The sequence below is a fragment of the Homo sapiens genome, chromosome 7 (genome assembly GCF_000001405.40).
Source record: "Homo sapiens chromosome 7, GRCh38.p14 Primary Assembly".
Lineage (NCBI taxonomy): Eukaryota > Metazoa > Chordata > Mammalia > Primates > Hominidae > Homo > Homo sapiens.
Genome location: NC_000007.14, coordinates 47,071,889 through 47,096,494, shown reverse-complemented (window position 1 = coordinate 47,096,494; position 24,606 = coordinate 47,071,889). Strand labels below are relative to the sequence as shown.

Genomic DNA, 24,606 nt, shown 5'->3' with positions numbered 1-24,606 from the left:
CGCCTCGGCTTCCCAAAGTGCTGGGATTACAGGCGTGAGGCACCATGCCTGGCTGAAATTTCTCCTTTTGCGTCCTTTTGGAGAGAGAGAGAGAAAGAGAGAGAGAGAGAGAGAGAGAGAGAGTGTGTGTGTGTGTGTGTGTGTGTGTGTGTGCCTAATATGGAAGCCTGCTGGTGAGAGCCATATCCATTTTAAACTGTTGAGTTCTCTATTTAGCTGTTAAATTCCATATGCCTGCCAAGATCCATATGATAACCAGCCCCTCCAGCATCTGCTTTTCTTTTTTATTAAGGCCCCAAGGAGCATACACAATTCCTGGTGTAAGTCAGCATTTTGCCAGAGTGCCAGAAAGGATTCTCACATTCCACAGAGAGAGACTCCACCAGAAATTTGCTCACTTCCCCTTTATTCTTGACTCACAAACCCCAACACTCCATGTTTTCTGCCTCTTGCACTACCATGTGGTCCTCACCACCCCACAGGGCTCTGGGCAACAGAGATGGACCACTTAAATCGTGTTTTTACAGTAACTCCCCATAGGACTCCTTTGCTTTTACTTCCTGCAAACTCTCTTTCCTGATCACTTGACATTTTTAGAAATTTGGGATGATGATCTAAACGCAGAAATGTTGTCAAAATTTAAGATTTTGTTCTTAGTTGCTTTAATTTTCCTTTACAGAATGTTTCCTCTTCCTAACATAGTGTGTGTGTGTGTGTGTGTATATATATATATATTTTAACATGAATTATTGTAATTCCTATTTACTTGTGTAATCCCGTACATTATATCCTTAAAGGACCTTAGGTATTATTGACTCTTTTATCTTAGGGGTGAAGAGACCTGGGCCTGGAGCAGTTGTGGCTTGCCCAGGTGCCCACATTTTTACCAGGTAAAAGAGGTTCTTAACACCCAGGTCTTCTGACCACAATCTCGTGCTTTGCACAATCCCAGCAGCTCTGTGTTCAATTTGAGGGTACGCATCCTCTATGTTCTGTGAAGCAGTTTGCTCATTGGAAGATCCAACATTTGGCCACTGAATTTCTGGGTAGTCAAGAATTTCCCTTTATACTTGCTGGAGATGGTGGCAAGGCCATGTCACCTAGTGTGAATACAGGCAGGGCTTAGGTGCCCCCACCAATGTTGGTGCCCTATAAACCCATGCACTTGACATCTTCAGCCTTCAGGCTTCTGAGGCCCCATGGTTACCTTTTGGGGTGTCTTGAAGTAAGGGGGGGAAGACCTGTGACTGCTTCAAAAGGAATCATGGTTTTTCTCTGAAAAAATGAAGCCTACTTGGTCACCAAAGAAAGAACTGGAGGCAGCAGAAACCAGAGAAGAGAGGTAGTCAGTATTGTTCACAATAGAAAGTGGTTATCTATGCTTAGCACCCAGGATTTGACCAGCAAACCATGTGTGCATGTGTGCTTGTGCCTGTGTGTATGCCTGTGTGCCTGGTTTAAGAGAAATTCTGAAGCCCTAAGGGAGAAATAACTTTTGCTATTCTGATGAATTATCTAATTCACTAATTAGTTAATTAGGGATGCTTTGAAATGAAACTGCCCCAGGTCATTTTTCACGTAAGTCTGAGTCTATTTTAGACTTTCTTTGAAGTGTGCTAGTTTGTGGTGCCTCATGGCCACCAGGCATAGTGACATTTTCTTTCGTAGACTTAAATGGTAGAGGGTGTATGAAATAATGTGCTGAAAAGTGCTCGAGTTAGTTGTTTCTTACGTAGATACACTGGATAAACGGCAGGAAGACTCCTGATTGTAAGTATCATTTGCCGGATGCTACCCAGGTGTGCAAATGTGTATACATATACACAGTTCACACAAACACACAGAGACACTCACACAAATATACATACTCTTTCGCATATACATACACATTCATACATGCACACTCGTTCACACACATTCACATTCACAAATTTGCTCTCACACACACATACATATACAAATCTAACACACACATACTTACACATACACTCACACACATTCACAAGTATAAACTCACACACTCTCACACAAACTCAAACACTTACACATACCAACACACACATTTGCTCAGAACATACATATGCACAGTCATATGCATGCTCACACATGCACACAATGCACTCACAAAAATACTTACATGTATACATATTGCGCACTTGTGCACACTCACACATATGTGCATGACATGCACACATACTCACACACTTTTATACACACTCAGTACACTCCTATATACTCACACAACACACACAATCATAAAAGCTTACTCATACACATTCTCGCACATTCTCTCTCTCTCATACACACACACACACACACACACATAACACGGTCACTGTCAGAAGTCAGGACACACACACACAAGACACAGTCACTGTCAAAAGTCAGGCGGAGACCAGGCATCCCATTTCCACTGTTATGAGTTTTTCAAATACATGTGTTTTTTTTTTTTTGTATTTTGTCAGCTCAGCTCTTTTAGAAGTAATAATCAAGCGACAGTTTTCATCAGATGTTTCTATTTTAAACTCTATCTTTCCAAGGACCTTCCAGTCATATGTTTGCAATAAAACAGAAAAGTGATTTCATGGGGAAAGAGAACTCTGAAAATTCAAAATGAACCAAAGTTGAATATATCATGGACATCACTGAGAGATGGTTGGACAGAAAGTTTCAGTGTCTATCTTGGGGAGAGGAGCCAGAGCCCTGTTCTTTGAATTTCTAAGCCAAGATCTGTGAACCTTTACCAGCTGCGTGACTGGGAGCAAGTCCCTTAATTTCACCAAATCTCCACTTACTCATTTGTAACATGGATTTCATAGTACTTGCCATCTTCATTTTTAGGAATGTTGTAGGAGTCAAGGGTATAATGCATGTCCAGGGAGTTTGTCAACAGCAAATTGCTACTGTTGAGAGGAGAGAGGAGATCTCAAGCTGAATTATTCAAGAGCAAATCTCCATGCCTACAGTTAAAAATGTGTAGCCTCTCATCACTCAATTTATCATCACATATTTAATGTACTTATAGTTCTGGAATTGTTACATAAACAATCTTCTGAGCGGTGCCTTAGGTATGCTCACTGTAAAGCTTAGAACATTCCAGAATCCCCAGTGAGTGTCCACTTGCGTTTTTAAAATTTTATTGTTTAATTGACAAATAATAGTTGTACATGTTCATGGGTTACAGAGTGATGTTTTGATACATACAATGTATAGTGATCAGGTCAGAGTACTTAGTATACTCATCATCTGAAACATTTATTATTTCTTTGTTTTGGAAACTTTCAATATCCTCCTTTTAGCTCTTTGTAACACTATAAAATACTATTATTAACTATAGTCATCCTACAGTGCTATAGAGCACTAGAACTTATTCCACCTACCTAGCTGCAATTTTGTGTCTGTCACCAAATATCTCCCTATCCCTCCTTTCCTCCTACCCTTCCCAGCTTCTAGTATCCTGTGTTCTTTTTTTTACTTCTATAAGATCATTTTTTTTTTAGCTTCCACATATGAATGAGAATGAGAATATATGGTGTTTAAATTTCTGTTCCTGGCTTTTTTCACTTAGCATAATGCCTTCCAGTTCCATATCGTTATTGCTGTGAATAACAGTAATTCTTTTTTATAGCTGAATAGTATTCCCTTGTGATATATACCATATTTTAAAAATCAATTTATCTGTTGTTGGACACAAAAGTTGATTCCATATCTTGGCTATTGCAAATAGTGCTGCAGTAAATGTGGGGGTGCAGATGTCTCTTTGATACCATGATTTCCTTTCCTTTGGATAAAAAATTACCAGTGGTGGGATTGCTGGATTATATGGTGGTTCTATTTGTAGTTTTTTGAGGACTCTCCATGTGGTTCTCTATTATGGCTGTACTAATTTACATTGCCACCAATAGTGTGTAAGAGTTCTGTTTTGTCTGCATCCTCACCAGCATTTGCTAGTTTTTGTATTTTTGATAATGGTCATGCTAACTGGAATGAGATGATACCTCATTGTGGTTTTGATTTGCATTTTTCTAATGATTAGTAATGTTAAGCCTTTTTTCATATATTTCTTGGCCATTTGTATGTCTTCTTTTGATAAATATCTCTTCAAGATCATTTTCCCAGTTTAAAATTAGATTTTTTTTTTTTTTTTTTTTTGCCATTGAGGTGTTTGAGTTCCTTGTATACCTTGGCTATTAATCCTCAGTTGAATAAGTAGTTTGCAAATATTTTCTCCCATTTTGTAGGTTGTATTTTCACTCTGTTGATTATTTCCTTGCTGGACAGAAGCTTTTTAGTTTGAAATAAACTCATCTGTTTATTTTTGTTTTTGTTGCTTGTGCTTTTGAGGTCTTATTCGTATAATTTCCTAGACCAATGTCCTGAAGTATTTTCCTATGTTTTCTTCTAGTAGGTTTATTGTTTCAGGTCTTGCATTTATGTCTTCCATTTTTAGCTGATTTTTGTATATGGAGAGAGGTGGGGGTCTAATGTCATTCTGCATATGAATATCCAGTTTTCCCAGCACAAACTCATTCATAGAGCTCATGAGCCATGTAGGACATTCATCAGTGTGCTCTTGACTGAGTGCAGACGTTCAGGGGGTCAACCAAATGGATTGTTTAGAAACAGGTGGCTCATGGTGAACCTGCTGTGATGCTGTGTTCACTCCTCAGTTGCCTCTCAGAGAAGTGGGTGCATCAGGAGCTCTGGCTAACTCCCCCAAACCCAACAATGCAGAATGTAGGAGGTGACTGGGGCCCAGTGACATTCTAGGTGCCATCTTGAGAAGATCAGAGCTGCAGCCCCTAATTGCAGCTCTAAGATCAAAATGGGAGTGAGGAGCTTTTGGAGTTTTTATAAACCTCTGTTTACCTATACACATTAGTTGCAAACCTTGGAAGTGAAGAAGGACTGGTGTCTCCTCCTGGGGATATTGAGGGAGAGATCAGGGCTGAGGCTACCTTTCAGCCAAGCCTGGAAGGAGAAGACCCCACTGAAGGATTAGTGATGCTGTGCTTGATGCCCAGACCCCTCCTATCACAGGCCCAGTGCAGAAGTCACTACCCACAGCGTTCCGTGCCACAGAGCACCAAGTCATGCAGGCAGAGGAGAGGCAAAGTGTGAATATTTGTCAAATGATTGCATGGGTGTTGAAATGCTTGCTGTGTTGAGAGACAGGGCCAGGGAAGAAAGAATTTAAAGTATGGTAGACGTTTGATGCTGGGGTGAGGAGTTCAGATGAAGAAGAATTGGAAATAATAATAACATACATGGTCTGGGGAGTTTATCCCAGAGACCTTTATGTGTAGAATTAGGTTTAATCCTCACCACCCTTGAGTGAGGCAGGTGCTGAGGTGATCACTTCACAGATGGGAAAACTGAGGCCTGAAGGTTTAAACCCTTGTTCTGGTTACAAAGAGAATAAGTAGAGGTGAGCTGATGCCTAGACCTCTTTTCTAGGGAAGTCTCCCATTCATTCCACATTGGGGGTTTGCTCTCCCACAGTATCTTTCATTGGAACCACAGCTCTGGGAGATTGTCTCCACTTTGTAGATGAGAAACAGGTTAGAGAAGTGTCATGTCAGAGCTGGGATTTCAGCTCCGGCTCCTGTGACCTTCCTGGCATGATTGTTCTCCAAGGAAGATGAAGGTGGCAGTGGGTGTTAACTCCAGGAGAATTCAGAGCAAGTGTGGGCAGCTGGGGGGATCTGGAGGAAGTGGGGATCCAGGGCCCATTTCTCAGGAGAGAAACTCCTGGGTTTGGGACTTATTGATGAAAGACAACAATGGGGTAGCCTGAGCTGAGGGTGCCACTGCCATGGAGAAGTCAGGAACAGTGTTTACTGCAAATGTGAGGTGTCATGCCTGGCCACCAAGGAGGGCCAGCGATGGGTGGCTACAGTTCAAAATATAGGTTTGGTGAGTGGGCCATGGAGAAGAGAAGGGAAGGAGAGGAAAGATTATACAGCCCTGGGAAACTGTCATGGTTTGGGAGAGGAGGAGGAAAAACAACAATAAAGGGCAGTGAGCAGTTTGTGGCCAGAGGTTCAGGGACATCCAGAACCATTGCATGTCTGGGGAACCAAGAGAGGGCCATTATATGAAAGGAACAGGTGTGGGAGCCCCAGCCAGGGGATGGGCAAGAAGGGGCTGGGAGAAGATGTGGGGCTGGGGTAAGCCTGCTGAAGGCATTTCCACTCTGCCTTTTTCTGGGGCCCTGAGGGGACTCGCTCTTGGCCTGCGGCTATACTGTGGGATGTCTCTGTCCCACCACAGTGTGTGCCTGTGAGTGAGGCTCAGCCTTACTCTTCTCAGTCTCCTGCACCTGACTTACACCTCCTTTCAGGAAATGACAATGAGGACATAGAGGTGTTTGTTACGGATCAATTTCAAGTAGAACCATAACCCAAAGGGGCAGCACTCTCACAGAATGATCGACTTCAGCCAAGGGACAAAAGGGTGTTTGCTCATAGTGGAAAAGGAGAGAGAGAAACTAAAAATTAGGAGCGGGAAGTAAGACTAAGTGCAAAATCCCTGAGAGATTCTAGGTGAGCTGGCCATCCATTTAGGAAGAGATGGGCTGTAGGAGTAAAGTCTCATCACTGAGGAAGGTGCCTGGGTAGGTAGTGCAGGAGGAACGTAACCTGTATCTTAACCAATCAGCACTTTGAAATCACAAAATTCAGAACTCCCTGAATTCTGGATCCAGCCAGGACTGGATCCTTTCATGGGTTGAAAGGCTCATTCTAGTCACTGGAGCTTATGGAAAACTAAAGAGTATTTTTATCATGAATATTCCATTTTTGACATCTGTTAAGTATTAGGAATATCTTAGACACTGCGCAGAACACGAACTGAACACTCTTGGCAGGGGCTGCTGGTGAGTGTGCTCTTAGGTAAAGTAAGCGGACACAGACCCCCTGTTCAAGAGAGGAAACCATGGCTGTGTCATCAAATGGGCCGCCCTGGGAGACACCTGAGCAGTCAGGACACACCCAGAGTTGTGCCTTCAGGGTTTTATCGTCTTTTCACATCACTTTTTCCTATTATCGTGTCATGCGTTCCCATTTTGCCAGTGAAGAGTATGAGCCTCAGAGAATTTATGTGCCATTTACCTGGTAAGTAACCAAGTTGGAATCAGAATGAGGAAATGCAGGGAAAATTTAAATTTCATTCCTTCATATCACAAATATCTCTTGACATGTGTTTAATTAAAGTAACGAACTGAGATTTACTCCATGGGGAAACTGTAGTCTCAATAAAGGCACTTGGGCAACTCCAACTCCTTGACTTCTGGTAGTTTACATTCTTGATGTGATTTTTGTATATATTTAGGAGGCTAAAGAGGCCAAAACCAAAAATGCAATCTTTTCTATGTATTGTTTAAAAGTGAATAAAAAGTATTCCTTAATTTGCTTTATTAGAAAAGTATTTCTTTTAAAATTCCTGATCCTTTATGCATTAGGGCGAAGGGTGAGATTTGCACCTTGTCACCACTAGATGGCAACATCTGAGCGTAGAGTTCAGGCTCAGCGCGGTGGGCACCAACATTCCACAGGGCGCCTGACATGCGGCCTGGGATGGCGCCTCAGAAGGTTGGGCCAGCCAGCCAGCAAGCACCTGTTCCCTGATCCTAAAATAAACCATGGCGGGTCAAAACTCCTAATTGGTTCTATACACCTCTGAAGCCCAGCTCTCCTCGCATTCCACCCTGCTTGAAAAACTAGCAATGGCTCCCTCCAAAGACTAATGTCACCTATCGTCCCCAGATAGAGATTTGATCAATCCTTATTTCTTGACTTTTTCTGTGCCCTGTGTTGGGGAGTGTGGTGTGTCCAGGCCCATCAGAGCTGGCCAGCCAGCCTGGTAGAGGGGTATTGCTCATGGCCATAGAGCCACTGAGCAGGACAGCTGGCCAGCACCCTGGACGACTGAGGATTCTGTCCACAGACACAGACTCATCCACAGAGCTTGTGAGCCATGTAGGACATTTATCCGTGTGCTTTTGGCTGAGTGCAGACATCCAGAGGGTCAACCAAATGGATTGCTTCAAGCAGGTGGCAGCGTGCCTTCCCCGGCATGCTGAGCTGCTGGCCTTCTCCCCACCTCAATTCATTCCTTGCCTGCCCACTACCAGACACATTTAACCTATACCTCTTTGCCACTGTTTCCTCACAGTTGGGCACAGCATTTGGCACAGCTGCTGGAGGAGTCTCCCTGGCCTTTCTGCCCTGAAGAAATCACTCCTGAGCTGTGTGGCTGGGCTCAGGGCCTTGGACTCTGCAGCTGGGATCTCTGGGTGGGATTCAGGCACATGCCTTGAAGCACCCAAGTTAGCAGCAGTCGTTGAGGTGTTTGTTAGTCTATGAACCTTTCCAGTACCCACTCCCTCAGTGGCTCACTGTTCCAGAGACTGCACCACATCCTGGCTATGTGATGTGAATGTCTGATTCATGCCTTCCAGGGCAAACAATCAAGTCAGAGGAAGAGGCAGAGAGATTCTAACATGAATATAAGGGTTGAAGTCCACGGGAGGTGGGGAGGCAGAGGGAGGATGATTGCTCCATCTGGGACTTGGGGAAAGGTGCAATTTGGTAGATAGAAGGACCTACAGGCATCCACCAGGCTTGAGAGAAGGTCCACGCACCCCCTCTTTCTCCTTCTTCAGAATTTCTTCTGGCTTGTGGGGCCTACCTCCTTCTACAGAAGTTGGATTGAGAAGGGTGGGGCTGTGCTCCTCCTGAGTGTGAGGAGATCCAGAAACCTGGTCCTTAGGCAAATGTCTAGGTCTTTCTTCACTTACATGAGGCCTGAGCTACTTCCCCTTGGGAGGAGGTGTGGCATTGCTCCCTCTCTTTGGCCTGGAGCAGGTAGCCTCATCTGGCTGTTCCCTGGGAACCTGGTACGTTCGCTTTCCACAGTGCCCTTCCCACACTGGCCTTGGTTCACATATGGGTAATCCAGGATCTAGCTATGGGTTGGGAAGGAGTCGGGCTGTGTAGTCATTGGCTGCTTTGGTTCTAAGTTTCAGGTCTTTCAGCTAGATGGAGTTCTCTCCAATGGCTCCAGCGAGGGCTGGGAAGACAAAATCTAATAAAATAAAGCCTGTCTCTTTGCTCCGCCTTCTCTCTATGAATGTCAGCATGTTATGAGTCTAATAGTCTACTTGGCAAATCATTCTTTCTTCTTTTATATAGTATGCAATTTCAAAGAAAATTTGTATTTGTTTGTAGTCTTGAGTTCAAACCTTTTAAATTTTTAGATGGCCAGAAAATTAATTAGATAGGCATGAACTTCAGTGTTTTGTTGGATGGCTGACGGTTACGAAGCTGTTAAAGGATCTTCACATGCTTTTGTTTTCTGTTCTGACTCTGTATCAATTCTTTTGAACAGCAATTAGATGACAATTAAAGAATCCTAATGGGAAGAGATCTCTCAAATGTCTGGTTCTGTTTTGCTTTGTTTTGTTTTCCCTGCACTCTATCTCTAGTGTCTCAGTTTGTTTAGGCTGCTATAAAATACCATAGACTGAGTGGCTTCTAAACAATAGAAAATATATTTTTTACAGATCAGGAGGCTGCAAAATCCAAGATCAAAGCCCTGGCAGATTTGGTGTCTGGTGGGAGCTCACTTCCTGGTTCACAGAGGGTGCCTTACCTTGGTGTCTTCACATGGTGGAAGAGATGAGGGAGCTCCCTGGGGCTCCTTGATAAGGGCGCTGATCCCATCATGAGGCCTCTCCTGTCCCCTACCCCGATCTGATCACCTCCCAAAGGCCCCACCTCTAATACTGTCACTTTGGGGGTTATTTCAATGTATGAATTTTGGGGATATGAACATTCAGACCACAGCACCTACCAAATGTAATGTGAGGCAGCATCAAAGTGCTCATGATTGCAAGTTTTCTGCTCAAAAGTGGGACATTCCTAATTGCCAGAAGAGCTTGGACCATCCCCAGAATAGGCATCACTCCCTGGGTAGGTGGAAAAACACAGAGGGTCTTGCCCACAGCTAACGGATGAGTTCTCTGAGGGATTCCGGTGGACTGTTTCAAGGCAGCGTTTTAAATCCTTTCTCAAGAAAGGAAATTGTGGGACCCTGGGGAAATCTCGTTACACATTTCTTTTGCCCTATTTGAAATATGAAGTGATGAGTTTTTCTGTAATCTTTCTATGGAGGCACCTATATCCAAAAGGACAAACAAGCAAGACTTGTAAATAAAGAAAGTTCAAGCAGCAGGTTTCCACTGTTACTCCTTTTTGTTCAATGAAAATATGCAGCCAGTCTTGCAGGAGTAGGTGCTAGAACCTCTACAGGCCTTGTTAATATCTAATCCCTTCATTCTACCTTCTCCCCTGAGATGGAAAAATCCCTATGTTGGTCATGTTCAGGATTTCAGGTTCTACTTTACATAGTTTTAATTTTAATAGACTTAGTAAAAATAACTGCAAGCTTGTGCTATGTACAAACACAATTTGTATGAATGAGTCAAGGAATCATTGCACATAACCCAAGAGGAGTTTCTGCAGGCAAGCAGAATTCACAGGGCTCGTGGCAATCAGGAAGGACTGAGGAGGCTCTCATGGAGTGGAGGGATTTGGGATTAAGGCTGTGAAGTCCAGTTTCACTCTACCTTTACTATGTAAGTACTCTTGGAAAATGTACCAAGCATCAGTTTGTTATCTGCACAGAGAAGGTAATTCTAACAAAAATATCAATTTAAACAACCACAGCTTTTGTGCACTGACTACTTCTCAAGGACTCACTAACTTATTTATTGTAACACAAGAAGTAGATGAGTCAGTGGGGAGGAAATGGGGCTTGAACTCAAAGTGCCTCTATCTCAAAGAGTAATTTGAATATTTTCCATGTTCATGGAAGCAGCTATAGGGAGGTGTGAAAATCTATCTGTGAAGAGCAAGCACTTCTTGAGAAGAATGGGATCCACATGAAAAAACAGACTCTCATGGTGTTCATGAAATTGAACAAAGACCATGCTATACACAGCAGGACTAGATTGTAAATCAAACAACCAGAGAGTCTCTTGTAAAGAAACATACTGAAAAGTGAAATCATGTTGCATGATGAACAACAAACCATCACTTGTACTAAATGCCAGTATTCAGGATATGGGGAAACTTCAGGACATGGGAAAAATAAAATCCTTTTAGCCAAAAGGGCAGTATAGGCCAAAGGAAAAAGGAAGACCATATAAAAATGAGTTCAGAAAACTAACTTTGAATAAGGGCCCAGAAGAAACTGGAATTCCACTGTAGGTGTGCCAAAGGGAGGGATTGACATTTACAGTCTAAGATATATGAAAATGTTTAATCTTTCATGAATCTTGTAATTTTGTCGAGCTCCACACTCTTCCCACAAGGTTCCAACATAGAAGATGGCAGTTGGTTATGTTTTTTAACTTCTGAATTTTACCTGTAAAATATATTCTAACTTGGGAGTCTTTGTCTTAGTAGGCCATGTAAATCTTTTCATTCTTTTTAGAGACAGTATGTGTGGACATACCTACACTACTGATGGACACTGAGGTTTCTTATAGTTTGACTTCCATAATATAACCTCCTTGTGCATATCTCTAACAGGGAATGCGTGTTTGTGTTGGACCTAATGCCTAGAAGCTCAATTATTGAGTTAATGATAATGTGTATTTTGATAGGTCTTGCCAATTTGCTGTTCTAGTAATTTTTGATAATTTCTACTTTAATTAAAATATATAAGTATACATTCCCACCATGGATTAATATTATCAATCACTTAAATTTTTGTGGCCAGGTGCGGTGGCTCATGCCTGTAATCCCAGCACTTTGGGAGGCTGAGGCGGGTGGATCACGAGGTCAAGAGATTGAGATCATTCTGGCCAACATGGTGAAACCCTATCTCTACCAAAAATACAAAAATTAGCTGGGTGTGGTGGGGTGCGCCTGTAGTCCGAGCTACTCGGGAGGCTGAGGCAGGAGAATTGCTTGAACCCGGGAGGCGGAGGTTGCAGTGAACCGAGATTGCACTACTGCACTCTAGCCTGGCTACAGAGTGAAACTCCATCTCAAAAAAAAATTATTTTTTTGCATATCTGAGGGAAAAATTTTCGTTTTTATTTTAATCTACATATTTCTAATTATAAACAAGATAGAGATTATGTTTTATGCTTATTTACCATTTATATATTTTCTTCTATAAATTGTTTATATCTTTTCCCCATATATTGTACTGTATGTATTTTTTCTGAGTGATTTATATTATCTTAACTCTTAACTATTTTATCTTAACTCTGAATATCTAGGATGAATTATCTTTTGTGGTCTTTGAAGCTTATAAAATTTGAGGCGTCAGCTGCAGGAGAAATAATGCAAAATTAAATAAGAATGTGACCATTCTTTGTTAGGCCTTTGCCACCACCCTAGGATGAACCACACAAGTGGGTGGCCCAGAGCTTTAGTGTCATTAAATGTTTCACGGTGAATCAGGCTCCTCTAGAGCTTACTCCTTTGTCACATTTGCAGCAAATATTTTCACTTTATTTTTTGTGTTTGTGTATCTGCCAATAATTTCCATGATAGCTTGTCCTCTAGGAAGAGGGACTGTGCTCTTGTCCCTTTTGAGTTTTGCAAGTTACCTGGGGTGTGGCTATGCCTAGCTGGCTTCCGTGCCCACTTTGCTGGTTTAGTGTGGGAATAAATGTGGTTGGCCTTAAGTGGTAGGGGTAACGAAATGATAGTATATCTCTCCTAAACACTTATTCCCAATCCTTACCCATTAAAACTGTCCCCACAACCCCACTGCCAATGTCTGTTGAGCCTGAGTTTTGAGTGTGTCAAATACGCAACACCACTACGTGGCCTGGCTGTTGGCCTGTGATTGCTCTGGACTTGTTTCTCCGTAGATCTGTTTGTTGTTGACTTCCAGGAGTGCTGTAAATGTTCTGCTTGGCTAAAGGCTTTTAGCTTTTATTTCCCAGTGCTAGTAGAGCTTTAAAAATATTTTTCTTTCATAATGAGCTTTTTAGGTGGGAAGGAAGTTGGCTGCCTTAGTCTGTTCTGTGATGCTATAAGAGAATACCTGAGACTGGGTAATTTATAAAGCATATACACTTATTTTTCACAGTTCTGGAGGCTGGAAAGTCCAAGATTAGGCACTGGCAGTTTGGGTGTCTGGCGAGGGCTGCTGTCTGTTTCCAGGATGGCACCTTGACCGTGACATCCTCTGGAGGGGAGGAGCACTCTTTGTTGCATGGCAGAAGAGCTGAAAAAAGCTAAGCACTCCTGCCAGCCCTGTTATGATGCCACAGGCCCATGCCTGAGTGGAGCCCTCACCACCTACACACCTCCCATCAGGCCCCACCTCCCAAAGACTGTTGCACTGGGGAGTAAATTTCAACATGAGTTTTGGAGGGGACAAAACATTCAATCCACAGTAGTGGCTGCGCATGTTCAGATTATCAAGTTCAGTCTTCTCTGGAGCTGACATTCTGCGAGAGAGGATAAACATGTTGCACTTTTCTGAGGTGAATACTTGGTTGGCAATGTGTGTGCCGAACCAGCAACTTCAAAAATCCTGTTTACCATAAAACACGGTGTATAATTTTACAGGAAATATATTTTATACCACAATCCAGTGCTTCTGTTGCCACACATACAATAGAAGTAAAATCATCATGGAAGAGGATTTACCTTTGCTCCATGCAGTACATTCTGATGTTTTCCCATCACTTCTCCTCCACATCCTATCCCAACTTGACCTCTCGTCTTCTGTTTATTCTATTTTAAAATATGAGTTACAACCCATTATATTGAATTTACAACTCACTAATGAGTCAGGTTCTGCAAGATGAAAAAAAGGCATAACTCTCTGAGAACATAGCCCCCCACTGAAGAGGGAAACGTGGTTTGTCTAAGGCCCCATGCCTTAGCTTAGAGACCTGTTGAAGCCCTCGCTCCCTGTCTCCTATCTGCTTTCTGTCCCTGCAGCCTCCTTGCTTCCTCAAATGTGCATCCCCTTTGCCACCCGGCCCCACTGCCCAAGCTCTGTAGATCAAATGAGGGACTCTTCTTTTGCAGGTCAATAACAAATTTCAAAAAGAGCTAGGCTGTTTTTTCTCCCTAATGTTGATTTTTTTAGAATGAGGAGGTTGAATTTCATTTAGGGGCGGCAGGACCCAGGAAAACCACCTCTGAGCCCGAGGCTAATTGATATTAGTTGATGTGGATCTGTAGAAAATAACACTCATGATGATAACAGGAAATAGTAACCAAAGCTCATGATGTGTCCGGTAGGGCATCTTCATGACAATTATTTCAGTAATAAACCCACTCAGGGTAGAAAGCCTGAGACACAGGGGAACTAATGGGGTTGAGAATGCAAGATCACTGTAAGGTCCTTAAAGCCAAGTGTGGTAAACTCAAGCTCAGCTTCATTTTTTAAAACTTAAGATGTTAACATAGAGCATTTTAATGTTTTATTCTTGCTGCCTTCCTCAGAAGGGAACATACAATGAATAACTGAGAGCCATTTGAAGTTTGCATATTGCTCCTGCTATTTCTTGGCCTTCCTCACTGCTCGACCTACCTCACCACTGGCCCCTGATCCCTGAGTCTTCCCGTCATGTTCCAGACTACCTTCCTCCCAGTGTCTCCCCTCTGCACTCTCTTCATTCCCTCCAGTCTCTGTGTGCATGCACAGAGGGTTAGGGTGAGGAGTAGTTATATTTTTTTGAAAATTTAAACTGGAATTCCAATGTTTGTAAATCCAGGGCCAGTTTTATCCTTAAGATTAGGTGAAGTAATGACAGGAGGGAAATGCTACACTGCCATGCAGCTCTGCCTCTCCCTGGCCTGTGATTTTGAGCAAGTCATTCCCACATTCTAAGCCTTCCATGATTTCTTCCTGTACCAATATGGGTACAAAATTAGGTAGGTGGGAGCATCTAGCTCAGGGTCTGATATACAGTGAATATGAAATTTAAATAATTATCCCCTTGGTCCTGCAGCCCGCAGGCTTCAGAGGCGCCTGTCACCCAGGCTGTGTGGTATCGTGCTATTTCTCTAGAGGACCATCTTCTGTGTTGCTCTCACCCGACTGCCCTGGTGCAGTCCTCCACTGAGGAGGGCCCACATCAGCAGCAGAGTTGCGGCAGGGGCACTTTGCCCTCACAGTGTAATACACCAACCCTTTAGTAGTGATTTTTGCATTTTTAACATTCTTTTTTTCAGGCTCTATATCATGGAGCACCTTGAGTTTTGGGCTCCAAAGTCAAATAGGGAAGCTATGCTTCATGGACTGAAAACAAAAATGGCTAGGATGCTGCTTGGGAGCATAGCTCCAGGCTGAGCCACACCAGAGCTGTCCTGTCCCCTCTGCAAGAGCCCAAGCTCATGTGTCATCATGATCCTCTGGAGTCAGGAGTCATCCAGCTCCAGCCCCAGACCAAACAGATGGAGATGGATATAAGCAAGACTGCAGGGTAAGATGCTGAGGTTCAGGAAAGGTCAAACCTCGCTAGATGAATGCTCGGCTCCTCCAGTGTTTATTTACTTTTACAGCATTGGCGGCACTTGATGAGGGGACCAAGACAGGCAGCAGCTGGTTGGGGCTTTTCCTGCCTTTTCCTCTGCTCTAACCAGGACACTCAGCCCTATTTCCAATTCCTCATAAGGAGAAGGATGTTTTTTGGCCAAAAAGACCTTTTATACCAGAATAAAATAGAGTCATGTCTTTAAACAGAAGGAAAAATCATGTTGCAACTAAGATTAACTACATTTTTAAGATTTCTTACATAGATGGACAGCATAAACTTATCTGATAATTTTACTTTCTTTACCTTCAAGATTTAGATTTCAAAAAGCCCTTTTATACGAATAATCAGTCCTCTGACTTAGCCCACTCTTCTTGTGTATCTCCTACGTGCCGGACCCCAGGCTGCAGGCAGGAGATTCAATGTCTCTCTCCTTAAGTAGCTCCAATGATGGTGTGTAAGACAGACGTAGCAGATAGTGCTGCATTTGAAAGGCATGATATGTCTAAAACACAAAACTACCAACTGCCCAGGGTTTGGGGAAGCTCCCAAATAGAACTCAAGGACTGAGTTTCAAAGAACAGTAGGCATTAGATAAGTGAGGAAAGAGGAAGAGGTGAGGATATTAGAAGAAGGGCAGGTACAAATGCACAGGGATTTGAGACCATGGAGTAAGGCAAGTTCAGGGATGTTTGGGACCCTGGTATCCAAGGAACACAGTACATTTGGAGAGGATTTCCATGCCAAGAAGCATCATAAAATATTGACTATCATGCCAAAGAACTTTAAGTTTATCCTGAGAGTGATGGAAGATCTAGCTGTAGAATTTGTAGAATTTCAAATAGGCCAATGCATTTTAGGACATGCATTTTATGAAGGAGGAGCATTCATATTGCAGTATCGACCAAAAAACGAGACGTGCTTGAACTAGGGTGAAGGTAGAAAGAAAATAGGAAAAGGGCAAATTTGAGAGATCCTGAGAGTGCTACGTTGACTCAACTCAATGGAAGGCTGATTGGGTCAGGCAGTGATCCTGTCTAGATCCCTGGTTCATGGTCTGTTGCACAGTGAAGTGCTTGGAGAACAAGGACAGTTTTGTCAACCCTTGGGGCCCTTGTTCCATCATAATGCTTGGCTCACAGTTGGAACTTAGAATTTGTTGCAGGAATCAAGGAATATCAGCTGCAGAAAATATATGAAGATCAGGTATGCTGGGAAATAAAATAATGTGAGAAAACATAGAGTTGAAAGTGCAGCGGGGGTAGGACTTACTGATCTCTGTTTTGGAGATCAGAAATGAGGAACCTCTAACATGGGGTGGTATTTGTAGGCAAATCTGGAGAGGAAAGCATGAAAGAAAATAGCTCAGACTAAGAAGTGGGTGGAAGTTGTAGACTTAGGAGTAAGCAGGAAAATTGGAGCATCCCTAAAAATCTGTCAAGAAACAGTCTAGGAAATAAGAGAAAAATAAGGGAAGACACTTTCAAAGGCCGAGGGAATAATGGGTCAGTTTGGTTTTCTTGATCCCCTAAGTTACAAGCATCAACGGAATTGGATGCAAAATCTCAGGTAGCTCAGAGGTGGAAGGGGTAGCTGGGAAACCAGACCCAGAAAGGGAAAGAGTCATGTTTCACCAAGTAAGGATCATTTCATTGGAGAAGTGGAGAAAAAGATGCAGTAGGTGGAGAGCTGGGTGAGGAGTGAGGTCATGAAGAGTTAATGTAAAGCTTTTCTCTGAAGCAAAAGAAGTTGAATCACTAGACAACAACTAAGGTTAATAGAAGTGTTTAACAGCTTTATTTATTTTATTTTTTTAAGGTGGCTATTTTGAACATTTTCATATCTTGAGGGGATGCACCAGAAGCAAGGAAGTAACTGTTGACAAAGTGAGACGGGTGAGTGGTTGGGTAGGGTCAAAGTCCCAAGGACACAGAAGCTGTGTAAGGATCAGCCTGGGGCAGGAAGACACTGACCTTTGAGATGAGGCATGCCAGGACAGAAGCACAAGATGTAGGGGACATACATGGAAGGACGCTTCTACTTAAAACCTCTGTTTTTCATGATCTGATATTCTCTCCACAAATGCACAACTCTTATCTTCATTTTACAGTAAGATTGAGGAACATTTCCAAGGCCCTGCAGCTGGTAATCATAGAAGGAGAAGATTCAATTGTATGTCCTTTGGCTTCAAATCCAGCAATCCAGTGAACTTTCAGAAACTAAAAAAAGTGTTAGGGTAGTGTGTGTGTGTGTGTGTGTGTGTGTGTGTGTGTGTGCATGTGTCTGTGTGTGTGCTTGTGTGCATATTAGATGCATTGTCAATAATTTATAATAAACCATTTTTTATGGGGCTTACATTTCTAAATTTATCTTTGAATCCATCCTTCGTGTTTGTATGTATGCTCAAATTAGTTTTTTAAATCAATGCTCTCATCAGGCCCATCCTTGGCCTAAAAACCATGAATTGTTTCCCATGGCCTGAAGAAGGAAGCCCATATGATACAATGTGGCCAACAGGGCCCTTCGTGATCTGGTTCTTAACTGACTCTTTCACCCTCACATTCCAATGATTCATCCAACCCTTCTGAGAATTAGAAAAGGCACTTTTTCCTCAAGATATTGTACTACCTTTTGACAGAAAACTGTAATAAGTTGATTTAAAAAATAGATTTGTTGAGACATAATTTACTTGCCAAAAAATTCACCCATTTTGTACATCCAAGTGTACAACGTGATGATTTTAGTGAATTCATGGAGTTGTGCAACCATCAGAACAATCTAAACACAACTATTTTATAGTACTTCTGATACCTTATAAATAAACCCTGTGCTTGGTGACAGTATATCTCTATTCACCTTTTCTTGTCATTTGTTGTAAAAAGAATTATATAACATGTGGTTTTGTGTTTGACATCTAGCAAAATGTTTTAGAGGATCATCCATGTTGTTACAGGCATCAGTAACCCATTTCTATTTTGTTGTTAAATAGTATTCCATTACATTTCATTGAATGGATATACCTTATCTTATTTTGTTTATCTATTCACCAGTTAATGGACATTTGGATTGTTTCCCTTTTTAGCTATTATGACTAATGCTACTCTGATTGTTTGCATACAAGTTTTGTGTGTTCATGTTTTCATTTCTTTTTGGTGTGGAGTACAATTGCTAGATCCTAAATTTATGTTTAATGTTTAAAAAAAATTGTAAACTCTTTTTCCTTGTGGTTGCACCATTTTTTATTCCCACCAGCAATGTTTAAGAGCTTCAGTTTCTCTATATCCTCACTAATACTTGTCATAATCCATCTTTTTAATTATAGCCATCCTAATGGGTGTGTAGTGATATATCTTTGTGATTTTGATTTGCATTTTCCAAAAGCTAATGATGTTGAACATCATGTTCTATTGATCTGTGTTAATTCCGCTACCAATACCACACTGTCTTGATTATGTAATGGTATGATAAACCTTAATATCAGGAAGAAAGCTTCCTTCACTTTATTATTCTTTGTCAAGATTGTTTTAACTTTCAGGGTCTGTACCTGTTCATATACAGGTTTTTTTTGTGTGTGTTTTTTTTGTTTTTTTGCCGGAGTCTTACTCTGTTGCCAGGCTGGAGTGCAATGGCACGATCTTGGCTCCCTGCAACCTCTACCTCCCTGGTTAAAGAGATTCTCCTGCCTTAGCCTCCCAAGTAGCTGGGACTACAGGAGTGTGCCACCATGCCCAGCTAATTTTTGTGTTTTTAGTAGAGATGGGGTTTCACCATGTTGGTCAGGATGGTCTTGATCTCTTGAATTTGTGATCCACCTGCCTCGGCCTCCAAAAGTGCTGGGATTACAGGTGTGAGCCACCGTGCCTGGCCCATATACATTTTAGAATAAACTTGTCTATATGTATAAAACACTTTGCAAAGATTTTAATAGAAATTGCATTAAGACTATAAGCTGATTTTGGGGGAATTTTCATCTTTACTATACTGAATTTTCCAATCCATGAACATGGTATGGTCTTCATTCATTTAGGTTTTTTTTGATTTATTTCATCAGCATTTTGTAGTTTTCAACCTACTAGTCCCGTACATGTTTGCTAGGTTTACACCTAAGTATTTCCTTTTTCTTAGCATTTATAAATTGCATTTTTATTTCTGTTTCTATGTGTTTTGTGGATTTGCACCATTATTCATTCTGTTTTTTGTACACTCAAAGATGGGCATCTTAGTGGGGAGGAGGAGCTGTAAGGAGGCCTGTGCTAGGAGTGGGAATATGTGGACTCAGGTCTTGCCTTTCCCTCCTCCTGGCTGGATCCTGGGCAAGGCACTGAGTCTAAGGTGGGGATTAATATTTACCTCAGTGGAACCAGAACAACACAAATTCTGTTTGACATGTAACTAATTATTGGTGCTTCCATCCTCCTTGGCAGACTTCCTTCCACTTTGAAATAGAAATCCATGTGTTCATCATAGTGCTTTGATGTGCCATTTTATAAATGAAAGACAAAGCCCATAGGGCCTGGTTTAAAAGGAGAAAGCAAAATAAAATTATCTATATCCTGACCTGCATAATAAATAAATACAGATTTGGACGTAGACAGTAATGAAATGAGGGATAGAAGAGGATTAAGCACCATAGTAGCCCAAGAGACATTCCATTCTTGATGTGAGGAAAGGAACAAAAAACACAGGGATATCTAGTACTCAGGTTTAAGTGTGTGTGCTCATTCTCTCCCTCTCTCTCTTTCTGTATCTCTCTCCCTCTCTTTCTGTCTTTCCCCTCTCTCTCCTTCTTTTTTTTTTTTGGTGGGCAAAAGAGAAGCGCCACCACCTGCGAGACAAAAGTAGGTAAAACTCCAGTTTTTTAAAAAATGAAATTGGAACTAAATAACATAAACAACTAGGAAGTGGCAAAAATCTTAGAAAATGCACAGAAATCATACCAACGTACTGTAACTCATCTAGGACAGATGACATGACGTTAATTGGCATCTATGTTTTCTAAGAAATACATGAGAAGTGTAGATGGAAGTGCTCACCTCTGCACTTCCTGTTGTGGTGTTGACATTCAAGGCAGCCTAAAAGTATAACCCAATCATGAGCTGGGTGATGAGGGCCAGGAGACAAACACTTTGTGACTCAGTTTCCTTATCTGTAATACAGAAAAACATATACATCAACTTCACAGGGATGTGTTGAGAAATAAATTAGCACAGTGCCTCACACATAGTACACATTTAAAAACTCTTAGCTACAGCTTATATTAAAATTAGATTCAGGTATCAGGGACATAGATTATTCTGTTGGGCATCTTCCAATTCATAGAGGAATGCCTGGCACATAGCAGGAGCGAGGAAGTGTTCAGAGAATGGCTTGAATGAATTAATGTGGTCAATTCCTGCAGTACATTAAACCCTCATTATCTTTGTGGAATGACTAAATTCTATCATTCTAAGTAGGCAATTAAGCTGAATTCTATAAATATTCATTTAAAATTTCAATAGCTGTTTATACGAGGCAGCCAAAACCCTCTGAAAATATAGACCTGAGTGATGAAGATGGTAAACATGCTCAGGACTATCTCAAATTACCTGCAGAATATTGTCCTTAAAATAGGCTTCTCCCACACTAAACTGCCCTTTCCTTTACACAACCTACCCTGTATAAAGGTTCCAACAGAAGACACATTTAAAACATTGCAGTTAATTTTAGCCAGACATCAATTCTATTTAAGGGAGACTTTCATATGCATCTTATTATTGCCTCTTAGCTGACCAAATCTTATTGTCAAAGATTCCTATAATATAATCACTTACAAACAGACTGAAAAAGTGAAGCAAAGTAGCCTGCAAACCCTGAGATAAGTGAAGTTGCCTAACACATGCCCTGTCTTTGACATTTGTTATTTAGAGGTTCTTTTAATGGTCAAAATATTTGCTTTTCCTTCAGACGCCTTCCAGGAGAGTTTATCTTAACACACAGAGACTAGCTGGGATTTTTAAGTGGAGCAAAGATTAGAGTCATACAAAGTTGCCTCTGTCTTTTCTCAAACAATTTTTTGTGTGTGTGTGGGGGAGGGCATACAAAGCAGCTGTAATATCATTGCAAGAGGCCTGATCACAGAGCATAGGAGATAAAGTGTGGGCTTCAGGTGGCTGTTAGCAAGTCCTTCACCCACGCTGGGCCTTGGTGACTCCCCAGGAGAACCAGAGAGCCTCTGACTTCCCTGTGTCTTTAAGTGCCAGGAGTGTAGAGAGGAGAGAATGAGGACTGAAATTTGGCAACTGCTTATGGTGTGCAAGCCCTCAGCAAATGTTCATCATGTAGTTCTTCAATTTAATTTTTAGAGCACCCTTGTGAAGTAGGTTCTAATAGAATGTCCACTTTACAGATGAGGAGAGATATCAGAGGTGCATTGGTGGTCAACAGGCCTGGAATCAGCCACATTAGCACAGAGCCAGTGATTGGGAAGCTAACACCAGATAGGAAAAAATCCAAGGAAAATTGTTCTATCCTCTCATATTCAGTTTTTAATTAAAGTAAAATGACCATAAAATGCAGGAGCTGCAATCTGAATCTCTAAGTGGCTAAGCATTATGCCGTTGACAAATTAACCTGGTTTTTCATGTTTGAAAATGAACTTGAGTGATGCCTTTTTACTTTCCTACAATATGATGCCAATTATCACTCTGCCCAAATAATAGAATCTACCAGTTTCCATTAAAATGCACTAATTCAGACTGTTTATTTTTTTAAGTCTTAATTGAAGAAATAGCTCACCTACAGTCATATCTTTCTTTTTCCAAGAAGACTAGTTGAAGAAGCTGCCTTTGGGTGAATCCGTCACATCTGGCAATATTCATTCCTCAGGCAGAAGAAAGGACATTGCATGCTTACCTTATTCTTCAGAGCGTGAAGTCCTCTAGTACTTTCCCCAAAGCTGCCCAGGTCAGGCTGTTAGATCACTGAGTATGGAGTCAGGAAGTTAGGGGCTCCACAGATCTCAGAGTTAGGGTTCCAAGATCCTGCCCATGCTCCAAGCCCAGTATCCTGCCAACATCCAACATTTGCATGTAGTAAGGCAGCCCTCTGTGGGGATCAAAGCCAGTTTCTCATCTGCCGCAAGCCCACTGCAGGTGGTTTCCTGATCAGCAAGGCAAGTTAACTCTCTCAGGATGTGAGGGCACTTTTCGTCCATGGCAGTCATAGAACTAAAAAGAAAATCTAAACTTTTAATTTGCCAATTAAAAATAGGAGAAAATATTTATGAGACTTTGTCTATGTCTTCAGATAAGTTTTAAAATTGTGTAACCTCTCAAATCAAATGCTCAGTTTAAATGTGAGAGGGAAGACAAGTGCTGGACTGAGAGTAGAAACAACACGATCTGCCACTTGACTTATAGATCCACGTACGTTACCCATGCTGGGCCTCGGTGACACCCCAGGGGAATCAGGGAGCCTGTGACTTCCCTGTGTCTGCAAGTGTCAGGGGTGGTGGAGAAGAGAGGATGAGGCAGCCCCCGACACAGCAGCCCCTCCCCAGCACTGAGTGTCAGGAGCGGCCGGTGTGCCATACCACAGAACATGCTTCCCATGAGCTATCAAGGAAAACACTTGGGGGAGCATAAAATATCAAACTAGACTTTAGTATCATTTTTATTGGATTTTAAGTGAAACAGAACCAAAAGACCAAAATAAAAAATAACCAAATTTTTACAAATCTTTCAATGAAGATATGTCCATTTCATGTACTTTATGATGCCTGGCATCATAACGAAACTAAAAATAGGAACACACAGCAAGGCCCAGGATCCCCCCCGTAAAGATCAGGCTCTTTACCGGGGAGATCTTGGGCCTCATTGTGGGTCCCTGCATGGCCCAGGTAAAGGTCAGGCTCTTGGCCAGGTGCAGTGGCTCATGCCTGTAATCCCAGCAATTTGGGAGGCCGAGGTGGGCAGATCACCTGAGGTTAGGAGTTTGAGACCAGCCTGGCCAACATGGCAAAACCCTATCTCTGCTAAAAATACAAAAAATTAGCTGGGCGTGGTGGGGCATGTCTGTAATCCTAGCTACTAGGGAGGCTGAGGCAGGACAATTGCTTTAACTGAGGAGGCGGAGGTTGCAGTGAGCCGAGATTGCACCATTGCACTGCAGACTGGGTGACAAGAGCGAAACTCCATCTTAAAAAAAAAAAAAAAAAAAGATCAGGCTCTTTCTGAACTTATGATTTAGGCATCACGAAGCAACCTCTGGGCCCACATGTCTACCCATAACCACAATTGGAAGAGGGTTTAATTTAAGACTTAATGAAGACAAGAAAAATAGAAAGAAAGAAAGAAAGGAAGAAAGGAAGGAAGGAAGAAAAAAAGAAGAAAGAGAAAGAAGAAAGAAAGAAAGAAAGAAAGAAAGAAAGAAAGAAAGAAAGAAAGAAAGAAAAGAATGACCTCAGTGGAACCCCATGATCTTGAGTCTTAAATGTTTATCTGCACAATATGGTCAGCCCAGGCCGAATCAATGAATACCTCATGATAAGAAGAGGGCCTCGATACCCTGGCCCTCCTTGAGGCCCTGTGGGAGCCCTTTTCCTGTGTGAACCAGAGATCAGCTTCTGTTGTGGTCCAGGTATGTGCCTGACAACCCCAAGCTTGTGCAATCATTCTGAGATGCTATTAGCTTCTTATATCTGGGAAACATCAACAGTTGCTACAGTAATTCAAATGTGGACAAATTGTCAATAATAAGAGGGTGGTACCTGCTATCAGTCACTTCTCATTTAATGCCTGCCATATGTTTTTGGCTAAAAGGAAAAGCTTTCCAATCGTGGGAGATGCCTACTTGCCTCTTGGGGCTCAGGGGCACTGGCTTGGCTTCTGTTCTTGCTGCTGCTCTTGGTGGTGTACTGATGCTAGGGCAGTGACATCTGCTACTGCTGCCTTCTGCCACGTGCGGCTGTGAGAGTCTGCATCTGATGTGCTCTATGCTGAATGAGGATGCTCAATGCATTCCATTTCCTTTCCCTCAATGCTCTATTATAGTGATAGATGTATATACAATACACCTATGTGTTATAAACCCAACAATACCATGTA

At 42.0% G+C, this 24,606-nt stretch overlaps 1 long non-coding RNA gene across 1 annotated transcript in view, besides 1 other annotated feature; it reads left to right on the top strand.

Moving 5' to 3' along the window:
- Positions 1-16,685: 16,685 nt before the first annotated feature.
- The window catches only part of LOC105375268 (uncharacterized), a 79,190-nt gene continuing 71,269 nt past the window's right edge, over positions 16,686-24,606 (top strand). The window contains exons 1-2 of the long non-coding RNA XR_927249.1: positions 16,686-16,729; positions 17,342-17,418. This is a non-coding gene — a long non-coding RNA (uncharacterized LOC105375268). The remainder of the gene's footprint in view (positions 16,730-17,341; positions 17,419-24,606) is intronic.
- Positions 21,377-21,577: a silencer, noted in NCBI's record as "peak6510 fragment used in MPRA reporter construct". NCBI's record gives its function as "represses an SCP1 promoter by STARR-seq MPRAs in K562 erythroleukemia cells {active_cell/tissue: K562}" and the evidence as "EXISTENCE:reporter gene assay evidence [ECO:0000049][PMID:32103011]".